The 19,505-nt window shown below is 41.2% G+C and overlaps 1 pseudogene, besides 2 other annotated features; it reads right to left on the bottom strand.

Annotated features, from left to right (window-relative positions):
- Nucleotides 2,853–3,053: a silencer, noted in NCBI's record as "peak1140 fragment used in MPRA reporter construct". NCBI's record gives its function as "represses an SCP1 promoter by STARR-seq MPRAs in K562 erythroleukemia cells {active_cell/tissue: K562}" and the evidence as "EXISTENCE:reporter gene assay evidence [ECO:0000049][PMID:32103011]".
- RPL23AP60 (ribosomal protein L23a pseudogene 60) lies at nt 8,664–9,191 on the bottom strand (annotated as a pseudogene).
- Nucleotides 15,426–15,927: an enhancer, noted in NCBI's record as "NANOG hESC enhancer chr10:135508821-135509322 (GRCh37/hg19 assembly coordinates)". NCBI's record gives its function as "activates a minimal SCP1, AML or CMV promoter by ChIP-STARR-seq in primed H9 embryonic stem cells {active_cell/tissue: H9 hESC(primed)}" and the evidence as "EXISTENCE:reporter gene assay evidence [ECO:0000049][PMID:30033119]".

The following is a 19,505-nucleotide window of genomic DNA, read 5'->3' as shown; positions in this document are numbered from 1 at the left end:
CCCTAACCCTAACCCTCACCCTAACCCTAACCCTCACCCTAACCCTAACCCTCACCCTAACCCTAACCCTAACCCTCACCCTAACCCTCACCCTCACCCTCACCCTCACCCTGACCCTCACCCTCACCCTCACCCTCACCCTGACCCTGACCCTGACCCCGACCCCGACCCCGACCCCGACCCTAACCCCTAACCCTGACCCTGACCCTGACCCTGACCCTGACCCTGACCCTAAACCCTAACCCTAACCCTAACCCTAACCCTAACCCTAACCCTAACCCAACCCTAACCCCTAACCCGAACCGGAACCCGAACCCGAACCCGAACCTGAACCCGTACCCGAACCTGAACCCTAACCCTCCATGAGTAATATGCCTGTTATATTTAGGGTGTCATGTGTGCATTAGGAATGCTGCATTTGAGTTCCGACGCTGCACTTGAACCCTGCAATACAGCCCCTCGCCTTGCCTTGGGAGAATCTCGGTGCGCAGGATTCAGAGAGGCTTTTCGTTTCCCGCTTTCCACACTAAACCGTTCTAACTGGTCTCTGACCTTGATTATTCAGGGCAGCAAACGGGAAAGATTTTATTCACCGTCGATGCGGCCCCGAGTTATCCCAAAGGCAGGCAGTACCCCCAACGTCTGTGCTGAGAAGAATGCTGCTCCGCCTTTACGGTGCCCCCCACGTCTGTGCTGAACAGAACGCAGCTCCGCCCTCGCAGTGCCCTCAGCCCGCCCGCCCGGGTCTGACCTGAGAAGAACTCTGCTCCGCCTTCGCAATACCCCCGAAGTCTGTGCAGAGGAGAACGCAGCTCCGCCCTCGCGATGCTCTCCGGGTGTGTGCTAAAGAGAACGCAACTCCGCCCTCGCAAAGGCGGCGCGCCGGCGCAGGCGCAGAGAGGCGCGGGGCGCCGGCGCAGGCGCAGAGAGGCGCGGGGCGCCGGCGCAGGCGCAGAGAGGCGCGCCGCTGTTGGGGAGACGCGGAGCAGGGCGTAGACGCACGCCGGCGCCTCCCCGGAGGGGAGGGGTCGCTGGGCGGGCGGGAGTGAGGCGCGGCGCAGGCGCAGAGACGCACGTCGCTGGGCTGAGGGTGGCGGGGAGTGTTGCAGTCGCACAGTCGCGCGCCGCCGGGCGGGGAGCGCGGGGGTGGCGCGGTGCACGCGCAGAGACACACGTCCCCGGCGGCGCAGAGACGAGTGGAACCTGAGTAATCTGAAAAGCCCGTTTCGGGCGCCCCCTGCTTGCAGCCGGGCACTACAGGACCAGCTTGCCCACGGTGCTCTGCCATTGCGTCCGCTACTGGCGACTAGGACAACTGCAGGGCCCTCTTGCTTACAGTGGTGTCCAGCGCCCCGTGCTGGCGCCAGGGCACGGCAGGGCTCTCTTGCTCGCAGTATAGTGGTGGCACGCCGCCTGCTGGCAGCTAGGGACATTGCAGGGCCCTCTTCCTCACATTATAGTGGCAGCACACCCGCCTGCTGGCAGCTGGGCACACTGCCGGACCCTCTTGCTGCCATTGTCGTGGCTGCACGCCACATGCAGGCAGATGGGGACTACGCAGGGCCCTCTTGCTCCCGGCGTAACGGCTGGCGTCCCCTACTGGCCGCCTCCTGCACCACTTAAAGTCAGAGCGCCAGTTATTAATCCCCATCAGTTCTCCAAATTAAAACTGAAAAGGAGCTATTACTGCGGAGAGCTGATGTCCCAGTTATTAACTTGGAAGACAGCTTTTCACCAAGAGGCAGTACAAAGATGGAAGATAACTTCATTGAAAAGAAATACAGTGTAAAGAGCTTATTGTACAAAAATAGGGAGGAGTAGGCTGATAGTGCATGATAACAGCCTAAGAGTCCTGTGCAGGGATTTTTATTTTGGACTTCTTCACATTCCTGCCTCTGTCTCAAGTCTCCGCCTGTTTTCTTTGGTTTTCCTGCTACTGCCTTAGGTCCCCGACTTGCCCCACTTAGCCTTGTGGGACCTCCTCACTGTTGATTGAGGTACATGTGTGGTGATCAACCCGAATCCACTCTGGCACCAGCCTCCTTCCTGCCATACCAGGCAGGCTGACAGCGGTCACGTTTGTATCTACTGCAGCTGCCTCTTTTGAATGTCTTTCTCTGCCCTAATCTGTACTTATGGTGCCAGGTTTCTCTTAAGAATGTCCCCTTTCTCCTTCTTATCAGCATGTAGCTAGCAATATTCTGACATTTTTATTGCAGAGTGAATGATGATTGGGGCATCTCAAGAGAAGTTCTAGGGTGTTTCTGCGTAGGTACCTCTTCTCCCTCCTAACCACAATTGACAAGTGCCCATCCACTCCAGCACTAGAGATGCTACTAATATATGCATTTTTGGTGGTCCCTCCACGTGAGCCTTCACAGACTTTCCCTTTTCCAGGAGCTCCCCCTCCTGTTCATGTCTAGCTAGCTATCTACTCTAACAGAGCCCACTATCCTGTGTCTTTCCCAAAAATAGTGAGGGAATGATTAATTGGAAACCATAAGAAATGATATGCATGTAGACGAAAACTTTACAACTTACACAAATAATCACTCAAAATCATCATTACACTAAAAATGCAAAACTATACAATTTCTAGAAGAAACTATAGAGGAAAAGCTATGTGCCTTTGCGTTTGGTAATGAATTTTAACAAATGACACAGAAGGTTGATATACACAGAAGAAATGACAATGTGGATTTCTTAATATTTACAGTTTATACTCTGGAAGAGACCTTGTTAAGAGAACAAAAAGACAAGCCACATATTGAAGAAAATATTTGCAAAATACAGATCTGAGAATTTGTATTCAAAATATATAAAAAATTGTTAAAACTAAACAATAAGTTAAACAGCCCAATTAAAAATGCACACAGATCTGAACAGATGCCTCATCAAAGAAGATCTACAGATGGCAAGTACACCTACAAAAAGATGCTTAACATACTAGAGAACTGAAAACCACAAAAAGATAGCACAGCTGGTCTATATCTCTTAGAACTGCTAAGCTCTTTAACAAATGACAAATTGCTGGAGGAAAAACAAGAACTCTTTTCATTGCCAGTAGAACACAGTGTATAAGACCAAACTATGCCACCCCAAAATATAATGGTAGGAAACCAGAATATGCAACCCCAAAATATGTCCCTTTGGCTTAAAAATTATTCCAAGCTAATTATTTTGAAAAAAAAAATGCTAACAAAGGAAGTTGTGAAAACAGAGTAAAAGTTACTTGTGTAAGGAAAATTTACACCTATAAAGGAAATCACCATTTAAAAGCTACCTCTCTCGACACCAAGAAGAGAAGGATAACTAAATCACTGAAGAGTCTTATCAATGGAGAATGCATGGACTTAACTCTGTATAACGAACCTTACCCCTGTCTAATGTGCTTTTGCTGGTTAACTTCCCACTACTGCACCTCAAATCTTCTTTCTTTAAGTTGAAGATAGTATTTATGCTTGAATTGAAAGCCACCTGTTGGAGATTTACTCATTTTTCCCTGAGTATATCCCATGTAACCATAAGATATACATGTTTTTAAACTTTTCTGTTTTTCTCATTTTAATCTGTCAGTTTTTACAGAGCGTTCCATCTAAGAATTCCAAAAACAGAAAATTATTTTTCCTCCCCTATTACAAGTTGGGCATTTTTTTCCAAAGCTAAACAAGTCTCACCTTACAATCCAAAAATAACATTCCTAAGTATTTTGACAACTACTTTGATGTTATTTCCCATCAAAAGCTACCATGCAGTTATTTACAGAAGCCCTATTCATAATGACCAAAGGAAAAAAAAGGAATCAGAAAGTCTTACAATAGATGACTGTGTGGGACTCCACTCAGACATCAAAAGTTGTTATAAAGATTATTTAAATGAAAACATTTGAGATACTGAAGATGAAGAAATCTTACCAGAACTTACTTTATCCAATTAAAGCAGAGCTCCCAGTAAAATACAGCTGCCATTAACCCCATCCAAGGAGTTTCTTGCAAATTCAGCTGCCATGAAGACAGCGTACTCTTTCGCATTAGCATTGATAAATGAAAATTAAATTCTAAGCTCCCAACTGACTGAACAGACCCACTCTTGGCTGAGGGGACCCCAGAGTAACTTTCAAAACTGAGTTCTCAGCTTTGCTAGGATGCGATGATGGGGTTAAGATACACATCGTTATACCCCCTCCTTTGCTAACCATGATGAGGCTTTCTTCCCTAAGGATTTAACAGAAACCAGCCCTTTCAAAGCCTCCACCACTGATATCAACCTCTCCTTTCTTGCCTGATAAGAGACCACCCACGATGGAGAGGTTCTGGCCAGCGTACAGAGGATGCACAGAGCGAGTTTTCATTTCCTCTGCTTCACCTTTTAATGTCAGAGGGCTGAAAACTCCACCCTGGGATCATGCTAACACTGCCATTTTTTGTACATGGGACCCATGAAGAAGCAAGAAACTCAATTGTGCGTGCATGCATTTCTCCTTCCATAAATATTCATGACTCCTCCTAGAGCTTATTAAATAAATCTATTTGGCCATTCCACTCAGCATAAATTGCTATTTCCTTTACCTCCTCCTTGAAGCATCTGTTTCTGGCTTCTGGCTGGAGGCTATGCTTCCCAGCCTGTCAGAAGGACAACCCTGCAGGCTACAACCCTTTATAGAAAATAAATCTCTCACTGGGTGGGTGGCTCATGCCTGTAATCCCAGCACTTTGGGAGGCCGAGGTGGGTGGATCACCTGAGGTGAGGAGTTTCAGACCAGCCTGGCCAACATGATGAAACCCTGTCTCTACCAAAACTGCAAAAAATTAGCCAGGTGTGGTGGTGGGCATCTGTAATCCCAGCTAATCAGGAGGCTGAGGCAGGAGAATCGCTTCAACCCAGGAGGTGGAGGTTGCAGTGAACCAAGATCATACCATTGCACTCCAGCCTGGGCAACAAGAGTGAAACTCTGTCTCAAAAAAGAATAAAAATAAGCATAAAAATGAAGAAATGTCTCCTTTCCAAATTTATGAACCTCATCATTCTTCCGTTGACAGCATTAAAAGGTTCAAAAAGACCTTTCCATACTCTCCCACAGAAGCCCTAGAAATTATCATTTTGTTAATCATTCTGGATGCCTGAGAACTTGTAATCCAATGAGTAGAAAGTTTGGTACCCCAATTATGGCTGTCAACCTGCCAGTTCTCAGGAGTTTGTATAAGCCTAAATCCGAAAGGATCTCATCCCATTAGGACCCTTGTCTCCTTTTCTGTTACCTTTTCCCACTGGCTCTGGCAACAGGGGTCTTTCTTTCTCCTTGGCTATCTTTGGATATGGGGGCTCCGTCTTCTGTGCCACCTTAGGGAATGCCTTTTGCAGGCATGGCTAAGTCATTAAAAAGCCTACAGTTTCAGTAACATTTTGAGTGAGTACTCTCTGAAGCTGCGTTGGAATCTCAGGCTTCTTTGTCTGGAAGATAACTCTTGGGCTACAAGTTTCTTATCCTAGCTTTGGTTTTGAGGCCTCTCTGTTCTCCTCTTGGGTTGGAAGTTATTCCTGGCTTTTTGTTTCAAGGTGTCTCTGTGATCTTGATCTTGCTGCTTTCATGGGAACTTCTCAGTTCACTAAATTCTCCCTTCTCCAACCTCTGCTGACTATGTGTTCCACCAATATGGAACTAATTCTACTTCTTTTCCTGTTTGCATGACTTTACTAAGAATTATTTACAACTTTAATGGCTCCTTTGAGAAAATTTTTATTTTCCAAATTGCCTCCTTTTAGACCTTTCCTTTCCCAGTTGAGTCTCTCAACTCCCTATAATCACTGAAACTTCAGGCACCCCACTCCATGCCTTGGAGGCTCTCAATGTGCTCAAGAATCTGCAAAAGCAAACACCTGGGGCTGAAGAATAAAATAGAAAAAAAATTATTTCTCAGCCTCCATAAGATTCTATGTCAAAAAAAAAAGAAAATCTTTAAAATCTCCAAAAATATTGGTGAGAAAAAAGCCTTAGCCCTCATATGAAGAAGAAAAAACTTGTTCCATTTTCCAGATACATAGTTATAATACAAATATAAAATGGGGCAAAGACAAAAACCAAGTCTTCTATATAAAGTAGTGAATTTTGTAGTTATTGTAATCACATTAGGCAGGGGTCTCCATAAAGGCAGAATCAATAGGATATATGTAGATAGATGAGAGAAGATTCATTAGGGGAACTGGTTCACATAATTATGGAGGCTGAGAATTTCCACAATAGCCTGTCTCCAAGTTGGAGAACCAGGAAAGCTGGTAGCATGGCTCACTCCAGATACAAAGGACTCAGAATCAGGGAAGCCAATGGTGTAACTCTGATTGTGAGGCCAAAGGTCTGAGACCCTGAAGTTCTGATGTCAAGGGCAGGAGAAGAAGGATGTTTCCATTTCAGAAGGAGATAATTCACCTTTCCTCTTCCTTGTTATTCTATCTGGGCTCTCAACCAATTGGATGGTGCCTGTATTCATCCATTTTTATACAGCTATGAAGAAATACCTGAGTCTGAGCAATTTATAAAGAACAAAGGGGTTTAATGGGCTGACAGTTCCACATGGCTGCAGGGGCCTCACAATCATGGCAGAAGGGGAAGCAAAGCTATCCCTCTTCACATGGTAGCAACAAGAAGTGCTGAGCCAAAGGGGAAAAGCCCCTTATAAAACCATCAGATCATGAGAACTCACTCACTGTCATGAGAACAGCATGGCGGTAACCACCACCATGATTCAGTCACCTCCCACTGGGTCCCTCCCACGACATGTAGGTATTACAGGAACTACAATTCAAGATGAGATCTGGGTGGGGACACAGCCAAACCATATCAGTGCCCATCCACATTGGGTCATGGTTATCTCAGTGTCTTCCAGAAACACCCTCATAGATATGCCCAGAAATCGTGTTTGACCAGCTATGTGTGTCTCTTAATCCACTCAAGTAGATGTCTAAAATTAACTGTCAGAATATTTATGCCTGATTCATGGCTGAAATTGTTTGACCAGCTGTGTGTGTCCCTTAATCCAGTCAAGTAGATGTCTAAAATTAACCGTCAGAATATTTATGCCTGATTCATGGCTGAAATTGTGTTTGATCAGCTATGTGTGTCTCTCAATCCAATCAAGTAGATGCCTAAAGTTAACCATCAGAATATTTATGCCTGATTCATGGCTGAAATCGTGTTTGACCAGCTATGTGTGTCTCTTAATCCAGTCAAGTAGATGTCTACAATTAACCATCAGAATATTTATGCCTGCTTCATGGCTGAAATCGTGTTTGACCAGCTATGTGTGTCTCTTAATCCAGTCAAGTACATGTCTAAAATTAACCATCAGAATATTTATGCCTGATTCATGGCTGAAATCGTGTTTGACCAGCTATGTGTGTCTCTCAATCCACTCAAGTAGATGTCTACAATTAACCATCAGAATATTTACGCCTGATTCATGGCTGAAATTGTGTTTGACCAGCTATGTGTGTCTCTCAATCCAGTCAAGTAGATGTCTACAATTAACCATCAGAATATTTATGCCTGCTTCACGGCTGAAATCATGTTTGACCAGCTATGTGTGTCTCTTAATCCAGTCAAGTAGATGTCTAAAATTAACTGTCAGAATATTTATGCCTGATTCATGGCTGAAATTGTGTTTGACCAGCTGTGTGTGTCCCTTAATCCAGTCAAGTAGATGTCTAAAATTAACCATCAGAATATTTATGCCTGATTCATGGCTGAAATCGTGTTTGGCCAGCTATGTGTGTCTCTCAATCCAGTCAAGTAGATGTCTACAATTAACCATCAGAATATTTATGCTGATTCATGGCTGAAATCGTGTTTGACCAGCTATGTGTGTCTCTCAATCCAATCAAGTAGATGCCTAAAGTTAACCATCAGAATATTTATGCCTGATTCATGGCTGAAATCGTGTTAGACCAGCTATGTGTGTCTCTTAATCCAGTCAAGTAGATGTCTACAATTAACCATCAGAATATTTATGCCTGATTCATGGCTGAAATCTTGTTTGACCAGCTATGTGTGTCTCTTAATCCAGTCAAGTAGATGTCTACAATTAACCATCAGAATATTTATGCCTGATTCATGGCTGAAATCGTGTTTGACCAGCTATGTGTGTCTCTCAATCGGATCAAGTAGATGTCTGAAATTAACCATCAGAATATTTATGCCTGATTCATGGCTGAAATTTCAGGATGAAAGCTATGAAATCTCTATTTGTGTTTGTATATCTATTAATGTATGTTATGTATATGTGATATTTTCTTAACTCCAGAGAGCATTGCAAAATTCATTTATGAAATCCTCTAAAAGTGCTCTATTCTAACTTGGCTTGGAAAAAAATAAGCATTTATAAATAAATATTCACCAAACTCCTAGAAATATAGGAACTGATCAAATGTTTCTTAAGTTAACATGATTTGGATAAAACTTAGTTAAATAAGATTAATATAGTATTTTTGGTGTAATAAAACAACTATATCTTCAAAATTATCATTATTGAATATAAAACAAGCATAAATTCCTATTCTGCTTGAGTTCTAGTCAAATAAGCTAATATTATACTTACTAGAAATGTAAAATCTTAAAGCTTATAGATTTGATTCTAATTAAGTTGTCATTCTTATGAAAAACATTATTTTTTTATGCTGAAAAAATACACATATATTTAGAGTTAGCCAGCTGGACTCAGTTTAGATGATCCCAATTTTGTTACAACATCGAAAGCATCATAATCAGGAGCAAGTCGAACATATGCCTTGTTCTCTTTATCAGGACAAATCAGGGTGGTGACCTTGGCCACATCACTGTCATAGAGCTTCTTCACAGCCTGTCTGATCTGGTGCTTGTTGGCTTTAACATCCACAGTGAACACAAGCGTGTTGTTTTCTTCTATCTTCTTCCGGCCGACTCAGTGGTCAGCGGAAACTTGATGATAGCATAGTGGCCAAGCTTGTTTCTCCTGGGGGTGCTCTTCCGAGGATATCTGGGCTGCCTCCGGAGTCGCAGTGTCTTGGGCCGCCTGAAGGTGGGTGACATGCGGATCTTCTTTTTTGCGTGTGGCTGCGGACACCTTTCAACACTGCCTTCTTGGCCTTTAAAACCTTCACTTTGGCTTCGGCTTTAGGAGGAGCAGGAGCTTCCTTCGCTTTCGGTGCCGTCTTGTGAAAAGCGAAAAACATTATTTCAAAAATAATTTGTTTACAGTAAATCTGCCTAAGAATAGTTTCCAAAGTACTTTTGGTAATTTTTAACCTTAAAGTTAAGCTAAGTAAAAGATCTGCATTAAATATCTAGACCATTTATAAATAAGATACAATACTAAAACATTAATTACTGAACATAAATAATTCAAGTTTATATACTTTTGGCTTCCTGTTTTTACAGAGAGACTAAAGATATTTTGGCCCGTTAATAAACATGTTTTTTTCTGCCACACTGAGGAATTGTATTATGAGGAAACACATCCCTCTAGATGTTGGGAGATGGTATATTCATACATTTTCTAACCTACTATAGAATGCTAATATATGACAGTTTATAACTGTCTACTTCCTAGTTTTCTCTGGAAAATAAAAGATTACTAAGTATTAAAATTATAATCAATATATGTAAATAAAACTACTAGAAATAATAGAATAACTAGAAACAACTCTATGCAAAGCATGCAAGAAAAGTAGGGCATGTTTCGCAAGTAAAGTAGGTTGCATTTTTTATAAGGAAAACCATACAGAAGATACAAATAAAAAGAGATACCTAACCTTCCCTGTGTTATATTTGTATGGGTAAAATGTTATGTTTTCAGAAATTATATAAAATTCCTGGAAGTTTGTCAATGTCCTCCTTATCCATGCTATGTGCCACTATAGAGTAATGAGTCATAATTCCAATTATTACTTTAAATGTTGTGCCAGGCACAGTGGCTCATGCCTATAATCCCAGCACTTTAGGAGGCTGAGGCGGGTGGATCACAAGGTCAGGAGATCCAGACCATCCTGGCTAACCCGGTGAATCTCCATCTCTATTAAAAATATAAAAAATTAGCTGGGCGTGATGGCAGGCACCTGTAGTCCCAGCTACTCGGGAGGCTGAGGCAGGAGAATGGCGTGAACCCAGGAGACAGAGCTTGCAGTGAGCCGAGATCGCACCGCTGCACTCCAGCCTGGGCGACAGAGCAAGACTCTGTCTCTGAATAAATAAATAAATAAATGTTGTCTGCCACAGAAAAAATAGAATATCCTTGTCAGTTGTGGTATAATGAACTCTCATCAGATCTTTCATCACAGCCATTTCATACTTTTTGTCATTTAGATATTATTTCCCCCTGATGCTTTCCTGAAAGCTCCTGCAATCAACTACAGGTCAGAATGTTCGTCTCCAAGACAGGACTCCCTCTGAGACTCACAGAAAAGACTATGACAGGTACTCTGGTTATAGGCTTCTGATGATATTGCTTAAATAACTTTAAGACCATACACTTGACTCAGTTAAGGTCTCCAGAAGTCTGGTTGGGAAACTGATGGGTTCATGACACTGCTAACTCAAGATCCACAAGACTGGAATTGATTACATGGCACTGAATGAACTGATGAAAATTGATTATAATTGTATAGCTTTTTGGAGCATTGCTGGTTAATATTCTAGTTTCTGGATTTAAGAAATCTCTTTCTCTTACTCTAACTGTAACTTACAACAATTTAGTAGATTATACTTTTGTAAACAGAAATGAAGCGTTTATCTTTTTTTCTTGGCTGATTTTTCCAGAATTTTGAAATCCTTACTGAATACTCTTATTTCCACGATGATATTGTTGTTAGCAAAAGTCCAGTAAGAATCTATTCACCTTATAACAGGACATAATTGGAAATTTTGGTTATATTATCAAGGTTTTTACTGGAATATCATATTTAGGAAGTGTACCTAAGATCAGTTATGACCAGCAATTTTAAGGAAGTAAGGTTGACTTTTATGGAGACAATGCTTACAAAGCACTGTGGAAAACTTTGAGGAAAGTTCTTCCTTAAAGATTATAAAGTCACAACTACCCACTATTTTTATATGTGTGTGTGTGTGTGTGTTCCAAATCACTTGTCCTAGCTTGCTCCAGCATGCCTGGACAGAACTAGACAAGCCCCAGCCCATAGTGCATGCCATTCCTTATTTGGAGATGCTTCCTTAACTATCCCTGGGCAACTTCCTTTTCTTTCCTTCTTCTATTCCCCTTACCTAATTAAGAAAGTTTTAAACTAACAGCCAATCGGGTAAAGTGTAAAATGGGAGGTCCTATTCCAGCCAATGGAAACTGGACACAGCAGTAGGGTAGACACGTCAGGTTATAAGTAACTCTGTCTCCTTTGTTTGGTGTGCTCTTGTAGCTGGACAGCTATTGAGTAGCACCCTTTGTGCAGAAAAATAAAGCTCGCCTTGCTAAGAGATCATTTGTTCCCATGTTAGTTCTTTTTTTTGGGGGGGGGAACATAAAAAACTTCATTCCCAACAGCACTCTGAGAAAACCCAGCCTGATACCTAGATTACAGGGTTCACAGCCTTATAGGTTAGTAAGGAAGGTCATTTCCTGGTAGGCCCAGGAATTTAGGGATATTTTGGGGCCTCAAGAAGAGAGGAATTCACACAAAGCTATAAGGACTGCAGCTGAAATTTGATAGTATGCTCTTGGCTTGGCTTTTAGCCTGAATAAGGCCTTTAAAAGTCAAGTCTGAGATTCTGTATGAAAACTTCCAGCAAAGAAACCTGAAAGCACCTACGTGGTCATCTCCTGTTCTTGCTGCACTTACGTAAATAATCAAGCAAAATCTAACAAAACTAGACTTATTTTTAAAACAAGAATAGTCTTACTTTGATTATGATAAAAAATGATGGTTACTACAGAGAGAAATTTTATCTTTCAAAGGAAAAGTATAACACAGCCGGGCATGGTGGCACATGCCTATAATTACAGCCCTTTGGAAGGCCAGGAGTTCAACATCAGCCTGGGCGACATGGTGAAACCCCGTCTCTACCAAAAATACAAAAATTAGATGGGCATGACGGCATGTGCCTGTAGTCCCAGGTAATCAGGAGGCTGAGGAGGGAGGATCGTTTGCACCCAGGAGGTAGAGGTTGCAGTGAGCTGAGATTGCACCTTTGCACTCCAGCCTGGGTGACAGAGCCAGACCCTGTCTCAAAAAAAATTTTTTTAAAGGAAAACTATAGCCATTGTGAGTTATCAGATTCTAGTCTTGTTTCTTGTTTCTGGGCTATTTTTACCTCTTTGTAAACTGGATCCTGCCATCTGATGAATTTTGTCCCACAATGATACTTGGGGAACAAGAAGCCAAGTATTGTCTCTCCTACTAATGTATCTATTGTCAGTTAATTTGAAGGTCTCCAACCCTGGAACAAAGTTAGAAGAGGAAGGTTCTGCTCCCCAAAATGCATAACCAAATTGTGCTACATTCATGTAATGGAATACTATTTAGCCATAGAAAGGAACAAGATATCAACACACACAAAGACATGAGTGAATCTTGCATGCACATTGCTAAGTGGAAGAAGACAGTCTGAGGAGGATACACACAGTGTGACCTCATTTAATGAGACACTGGAGAAGGCAAACTACACAGATGGGAAGCCATTGGCTCCATGGGGTGGGGGTTTGAGGCATTCCATTTGATACTTTAATAGTGGGTTATCTGCCACAATACATTTGTCGAAATATGCAGAATTTTACAGCCAAATGGTTAAAGCAAACTCTATTCAAATTAAATCAAATTACTCAGGATGTGGAGTATCCCAGGACAGAATACATCATGTGAAAAAGAATTTATGCTACAAATTACTATGGTTTGGATGTGGTTTGTCCCCACAAAAACTCATGTTGAAATTTGACTCCCACTGGGTCAGTGTGGGGCGGTGGGGCCTAGTGGACGGTGTTTGGATCATGGGGACGGATCCCTCATGAATAGATTAATGTCCTCCATGGGGGTGAGTGAGTTCTGTTCTCACAGGAATAGATAATTCCTGCAGGAGTAAGTAATTAAAAAGAGTCTGGCTTCCTTGGCTTCCCTCTTGCTTTCACTTCTGCTATGTGATCTCTGGTGCACCCCTTGCTCCCCTTCCACTTTCCACCATGAGGTGAAAAAGACTGAGGCCCTGCCAGATGCAACTGCCCAATCTCAGACATTCCAGCCACCAGTATTGTGAACCAAATGAAACTTTTTTACTTATAAATTGCGCAGCCTCAGGTATTCTGTTACAGAAGCACAAAATGGACTAAGACACAAATCTAGGTAAAAACTTTGAAAATGAATAGAATCTGTAGGCTGAAGGCACATGAACTATACTTCATTATTGGATTCCATTTTATAAAGTTCTTTCCAAAAGAAGCAATTGTGAACAATTGTAAAACCACAGTGTCTGTATCTGGAATAAAACAATGACTTACATAAGTCGCAGATGGTGGGAACCAGGTTTCTTACTGTTGAAGTGGGAGGTTACAAATTAGCAAGGCGAGAAGGCTAGAATGATTCATGTGATAGTAGATCAGAGGTGGAGACATCAACGTAAACTTATGTTTAGTTTAATATAGACACACACAGTTCTACATAGAAAACTTTATAATTAGGTGTGTATAGGTAGGTTAGACACACACATATACTTCCTAGCATTGCCAATGAGGGAGAAGATACAATGTGCTCATTCAGCAGCCAGATGTAAGTTTTCCTACCATTCTGAAAGGAATCAGGCTCTTTGAAGAAATGTCTGATACTAGAACTGGGACAGTAAATATAGGAACCAGGATAATCTGGAAGTATCAGAAAGTAAGTACTAAAAAAATTAAAACATATCAAAGAAAAATAAAAGCCAATAAAAACAGCTACTGATGGCCAACACAGGAATGAATTGTGCAACATAATACTGTAGAGTTGAATAATAACTAAAGCTTAAAGTAATTATCTAGGTGTCTGTATTTGTATACCTCGGTGAATAAGCAAATGGAGTTGCATAGAAATCTCCTTTGCAAAAGAATTCCAAATAATTGATGTAGACACTCAGCCGTCAAGAAGGTGGAGCCAACTCCTTACGGAGTGAGGCTCTGCATAGTGACTTGCTCCAAAAGAACACATGCAGTACGGACAAGGAGGAGAAATAGCCTCACAGTGGAGAAACCTGACAAACATTAGCTCTGCCAAATGATCCAAGTGAACATCAAAGGTGACAGTTCAACTTGAGAACATGAAGTGACAATGGGGGACATTCTACAACATTCCTGACCAATCCTCCTCAGTGCTATGAAGGTCATCATGAGATGGAAAGCCTGACACACTGTCACAGCCAGGAAGAGCCCACGTGATGTCTACATGTCATGCGGGATCCTGGATGGGATCCTGGGTCAGAGTAAGATAGAACTAAGGGAATCCAAATGAAATATGAACTTCGGTTAATAATAGTCTATCAGTATTGGTTCATTAACTGTGACAAATTATGTAAGATATTAATAAGCCATGTGAGACACACTGATAGAAGATGTTAATAAGAGAGGAAACTAGGTTGCGGCTACATGGGAAATCTCTGCTTTTTTTTGACAATTTCTGTGTAAGTAAAAAAGATGATGTAAAATAAAACTTTATTTAAAACACTGTTTTTTTTGAACACTTCCTTGTTTAATTATTTATACCATGAATTACTAGTAATTGACACTGTTAACTAGTCCTGTTTTTTTAAATAAGAGTATTTATGACACAAAAAATTAAACAGTGCAGACTGATACATAAATCAAATGTTCTTTACATGTTTTCTGTTGCAGTAGTAACACATATGTGTAAACTTAATTATCACGTTTTTCTTGTGCAGTGGTTGTGTCCTGAGTTCATTCTCTAAAATGCTGTTCACCTTAGACCAGGAAAAATATTAACCATACAGACTTTGTTTTAATTCATAGCTAAATATTTTCAAAAGAGTGACTTTGTAAAAATATGTTCCAATGGCAAATTGATTCATTGTGATGGGATCACTTATTCCAAAGACTTCCTGTCTTTATTTTGTTGCCATGCCTACCTTTTAGCCATGATAAAACAGAATCAAATATTGGCCACTGGGAAAAAATATTCAAAGCAAGAAAGAATGTGAACAGAACTTATGACCATGATGATTCAATGTTTTACCACAATGCTTTCTAAAACAGAAGAGTGTAAAAGGATATTCAAAGTCAATTTCCTCAGCAAGGCTTTGCAGAAAATGAGGAAACTACAGAAACAAAAATGGCAGGACATTCTACGGGTGATTTTAAATGTTGCTATGTTTTATGGGAAAAAATACTTTACCTTTTAAAGAATCACAAAGAATTATTGGAAACCCAAACTCTGGAATGTTTGCAAATTTAGTTGAGCTTCTATGTAATTATGTCTATATAGGTAGCCAGGAAGTTGATGATTTTTTAAAAATCTGTGCCTTATTTGTGTGATAAAATACACAATGAATAATTAATGCTCATAGGAAAACCTTATGAAGGGAAAATAAATCTTGGGGACCCAAAATCACTAAGCTAAAGGGAAAAGTCAAGCTGGGAACTGCTTAGGGCAAACCCGCCTCCCATTGTATCCAAAGTCACCCATCTGCTCACCGAGATAAATGCATACCTGATTGCCTCATTTGGAGAGGGTAATCAGCAATGCAAAAGAATGAAACCATTTGTCTCTTACCTACCTATGACCTGGAAGCCCCCTGTCTGGCCTTCTCACCTTTCTGGACTGAACCAATGTACATCTTACACGTATTGATTGATGTCTCATGTCTCCCTAAAGTGTATAAAACCAAGCTGTGCCCCTACCACCTTGGGCCCATGTTGTCAGGACCTCCTGGGGAGGCATCACGGGTGCACATCCTCAAGATTGGCAAAATAAACTTTCTAAAAAATCTGAGAGCTGTCTCAGATTTTCAGGGTTCACACATGTAATGTAGGATGTCAATGTTTATAAAACAGACATTATTCTATCTACTATTAGAAATATGCTGCCAATTAACCTTACACTTTCTCAACAAAATAAAAAATGTTGATGAGGTACAAATAATATATCTAAGCTTAAATATTGTTACAAGTTTTAATATGCCTACTTTTCAATTTTTCAATACTATTTTTACTAATTTAACACTTTAAGTGAATAACTAAAACATGAATAAGTGTTTACAAGGGGTGCACATGTTTCCTCCAGCCTCTGCCTATCCCCAGCTTTCATCCCAACTGTCTTGATGGTGGCTCTAAGCATTTCTCCTTTCTCTATGCCAAGATCTCTCCCAGAAACAAACCCAAACCTTACTATATGTTATGGCACGCTATGATGATGAGCAGTGATGAGCAGCCGAAGCCTCAAGGAAGGGATGCTTTTGTAAAACAAGACTTGTAGAATATAACGTGTGAAAGTAAAGCCCATGGCAGAGCTCCCTCCTCAGCACACGGGGAGCAGACAGGAAGATTTGCCTCACCTTCCTCAATGGCCTGCAGCCACGTCTCCCAGGTCAGTCTTAAGGACAACGAAACTCTGGTCTTCACTGTGGACATGCCACACTACCAGGTGCTCCAAAGCCATGGTGACCCATCCTCGGGTGGGTCCTGAGAACAAAGCTCTGGTTCTAATCCTAACCCTAACCCTGTCCCAAGACTTTGAGCCTGAACCTAAATCCTGATCCCTACCCTGGTCCTTAATTCTGACCCTTACTTTAACCCTGACTTTGATCTTGACCCTGACCATGACCCCACCTCTAACCATACTTCCGGCCCTGACTCTGACCCAGATCCTAATCCTATGCCTAACCCTATTATTATCTTTACAATCTATCTCTACTCTTACCCTCTAGTGCTAAATAGCTGTACCCAAAAGCACTTTTAAATTATTTCTTTTCTTGAATTCTCTATGGACATCCTAAAGGAGATGTCAATATGTATTGCATTCCCTCTGAGTGGTATGGCTTCAGATATGAAGTTCTAATACTTTGCAAGACATAAAAAGTTTGGAGGGTAACAGCACTGGGTTGTTAGGGATGTATGTTGGCATTCATGATAGTCATTGGTGTTGTTCTCCAAATATTTTCAGTTCATTTTTTATGAATGCATTCTGACTGTTCCATCCCACCTACTTAAATTTTCCCATGGCCACATGACTTTTTTTTTTTTTTTTTTTTTTTTTTTTTTGCCAATGGAGGTGAGAAGAAATAACATGTGACTTTTTCAGGAGAAATCTCCAAGAAACAGCGTTCTATTCCACATGCTTTTTTCTCTTTTCTATAGCAATGGGGATCTTATTGACAGTCCCTCCTTCCTTCTGGATTCCTGTGTTAGGATGACACAGCACAGAGCTACCTCTCACCTGACCAGTCATGAGATGTAAATAAATGAGGAAGAAGATTTTTGAGCCACTGAAATTTGAAGGTTGTTTGTCACCACAGTTTAAGCTAGCCCCCACTGACTGATGCACGGCTGAAGAATGAGTCCGAACTGGCTCTGGACAAGACATGTGAAGAGCGCTCCAGGCTGAGTAAAATTCAAGGGTTGCCTCAAAGATAACAGTGAGCACGATATGTTATTGGGGTGGGTGTGGGATAAATAAGGTATATCAGGTGAGAATAAGAATAAACTCAACTTTAAAAGACGGCGCTGATTTGCACTGTGGAGAGATTCAAATGCCCTGCTTAGCATTTGAGATTGTGATGGATGAACAAACTAATTAAGAGCCCAAAATGAAAGCTGGGGATAAATATCTGAAGGTGTCTAATATCCCAATTTTTCATCCTAGAATGGGCAGAGTCCTTGACCCCATTCTAGGGAGACTTCCAAAAGAAAAAAGACCTGCATTTCTTCAACAACCCACACTGAGAGACTTTCCTGTACTTTTGACCTGTGGCTAACACTCCTCACCTTTCATTCTGTCATCAGTGTTTTGGGGAAGCACCTTTATCTCTCTGATTTACAGGTTATTAAGTGGCCCTTACAATTCCCTCCAGAGATGGAAAAGACATGATGGTGTCTGACCTCACAGCAGCAAGCAAGCATGTGTGCTCAGAAGCCACATGGCTCATCTGCTAGGAGCTTACTAAATACGATGTTCTACAACATTGCCTAACACAAGGGGAGACGCTCCTGACTCACAGTGTTTAATTGCTCATCTACTTCATTTTCTGCCCTCTTGGGCTTATAAAATGAAAAGAACCCTGGGGTGATACAGTGAATCAAAGGGGTGCCAGCCACATCACAGCAAAATAGATTCCTAAAAGATCCCTGGCCTAAGATGACAGTCTTGGCTGGATACGTTTGAATGTGCTCATAGTGGATGTGGTAGAATGAAGCTGGTTGAAATGTTCATATTAAAGAACTTCCACCCAGATTGCAAAAAGAGAGAGAGGAATGGAGATGGCAGCACAAGTCCCTACATAAAAGCAGATGTTTTGAGATCAGTTATATTTCTTCTGACAAAAATTGAAGACAGAAACGAAAGTTTAGCCTGAGACTACAATTAATTGGGCAATAAGCCAGAGGCACATATGGCATAGGCAGATTTAAACATTTCTCCCTTATATTAATACAAATACTAAAATTACAAATACTTTGATTCCAAATAAAACAAATATTTTAAAAATTTAATGAATAAATACTAGGGTCTACAGTAGTATTTGAAGGAGATCTCACAAACAGGTTTGGTTTTTGAAGGTTAGAACTAGTGGTCTGGAGAATTCATTTCATTCCGAGACAGAAAGAGGAATTTCTTGGGTTCCTTCAGGAATGCGTCTAGTTTTGCCTCATCTTTGTTTGAACTATAGATACAGCAGAAGAAAACATGAGGATTTCACAGATTTAAGGTGCAAAAAGTCACTGGGTTCTCTAAGAAGTCTGGGATTCTTCTGCTGGAAAAATAAGTTTGTTGAGAAAAAATGAGTTGGAGGAGGCTGTTATTGAAGTGAAGCAGAATTGTTTTTACTAATCTGCTTATTACCCACTCTGTAATGTGGAAACAAATTATTCACTCACAAGGTCCTCTTACTGTTCCTAGAATGCAGTGGAAAGAGAAAAGATTAGTTTTTCTCCCTCAGAACACAACCACTAGAAACATTCTACCTCAGATGAGATATTGCTTAATTATTTTCAAAAGACAGTGAAAAATCATGGATGTAAATGTTTGCTGCAAAATAAATACACGCTAGAAACAGAAGCATCTCAGTCACAGCTATATTAGAGCTACCTGTGTTCCCCTGTCACTGAGATTAAAACAAAAATGTCCAATACAATCATTCACAGCATGGGAAAGGGGAAGTTGAAGGATGGAAAGGCCAGGCATAAAAGGATTTCAGAATTTCTGTCCATAAGGAAGTGGATTTGTGCATTGTCTGTTACTGTGTGCAAGGTGAAGTTTGGAGAATGAAAACGTGCAGTAACAAGGGCTCCTTTGTCCATCTCACCTCTCCAGATACCACGTTTCAGACATGTTGCATTTCACTT

Source organism: Homo sapiens, chromosome 10, assembly GCF_000001405.40.
Source record: "Homo sapiens chromosome 10, GRCh38.p14 Primary Assembly".
Lineage (NCBI taxonomy): Eukaryota > Metazoa > Chordata > Mammalia > Primates > Hominidae > Homo > Homo sapiens.
The sequence above is the reverse complement of the archived record's forward strand: the minus strand, read 5'-3'. Positions and strand labels throughout refer to the sequence as shown.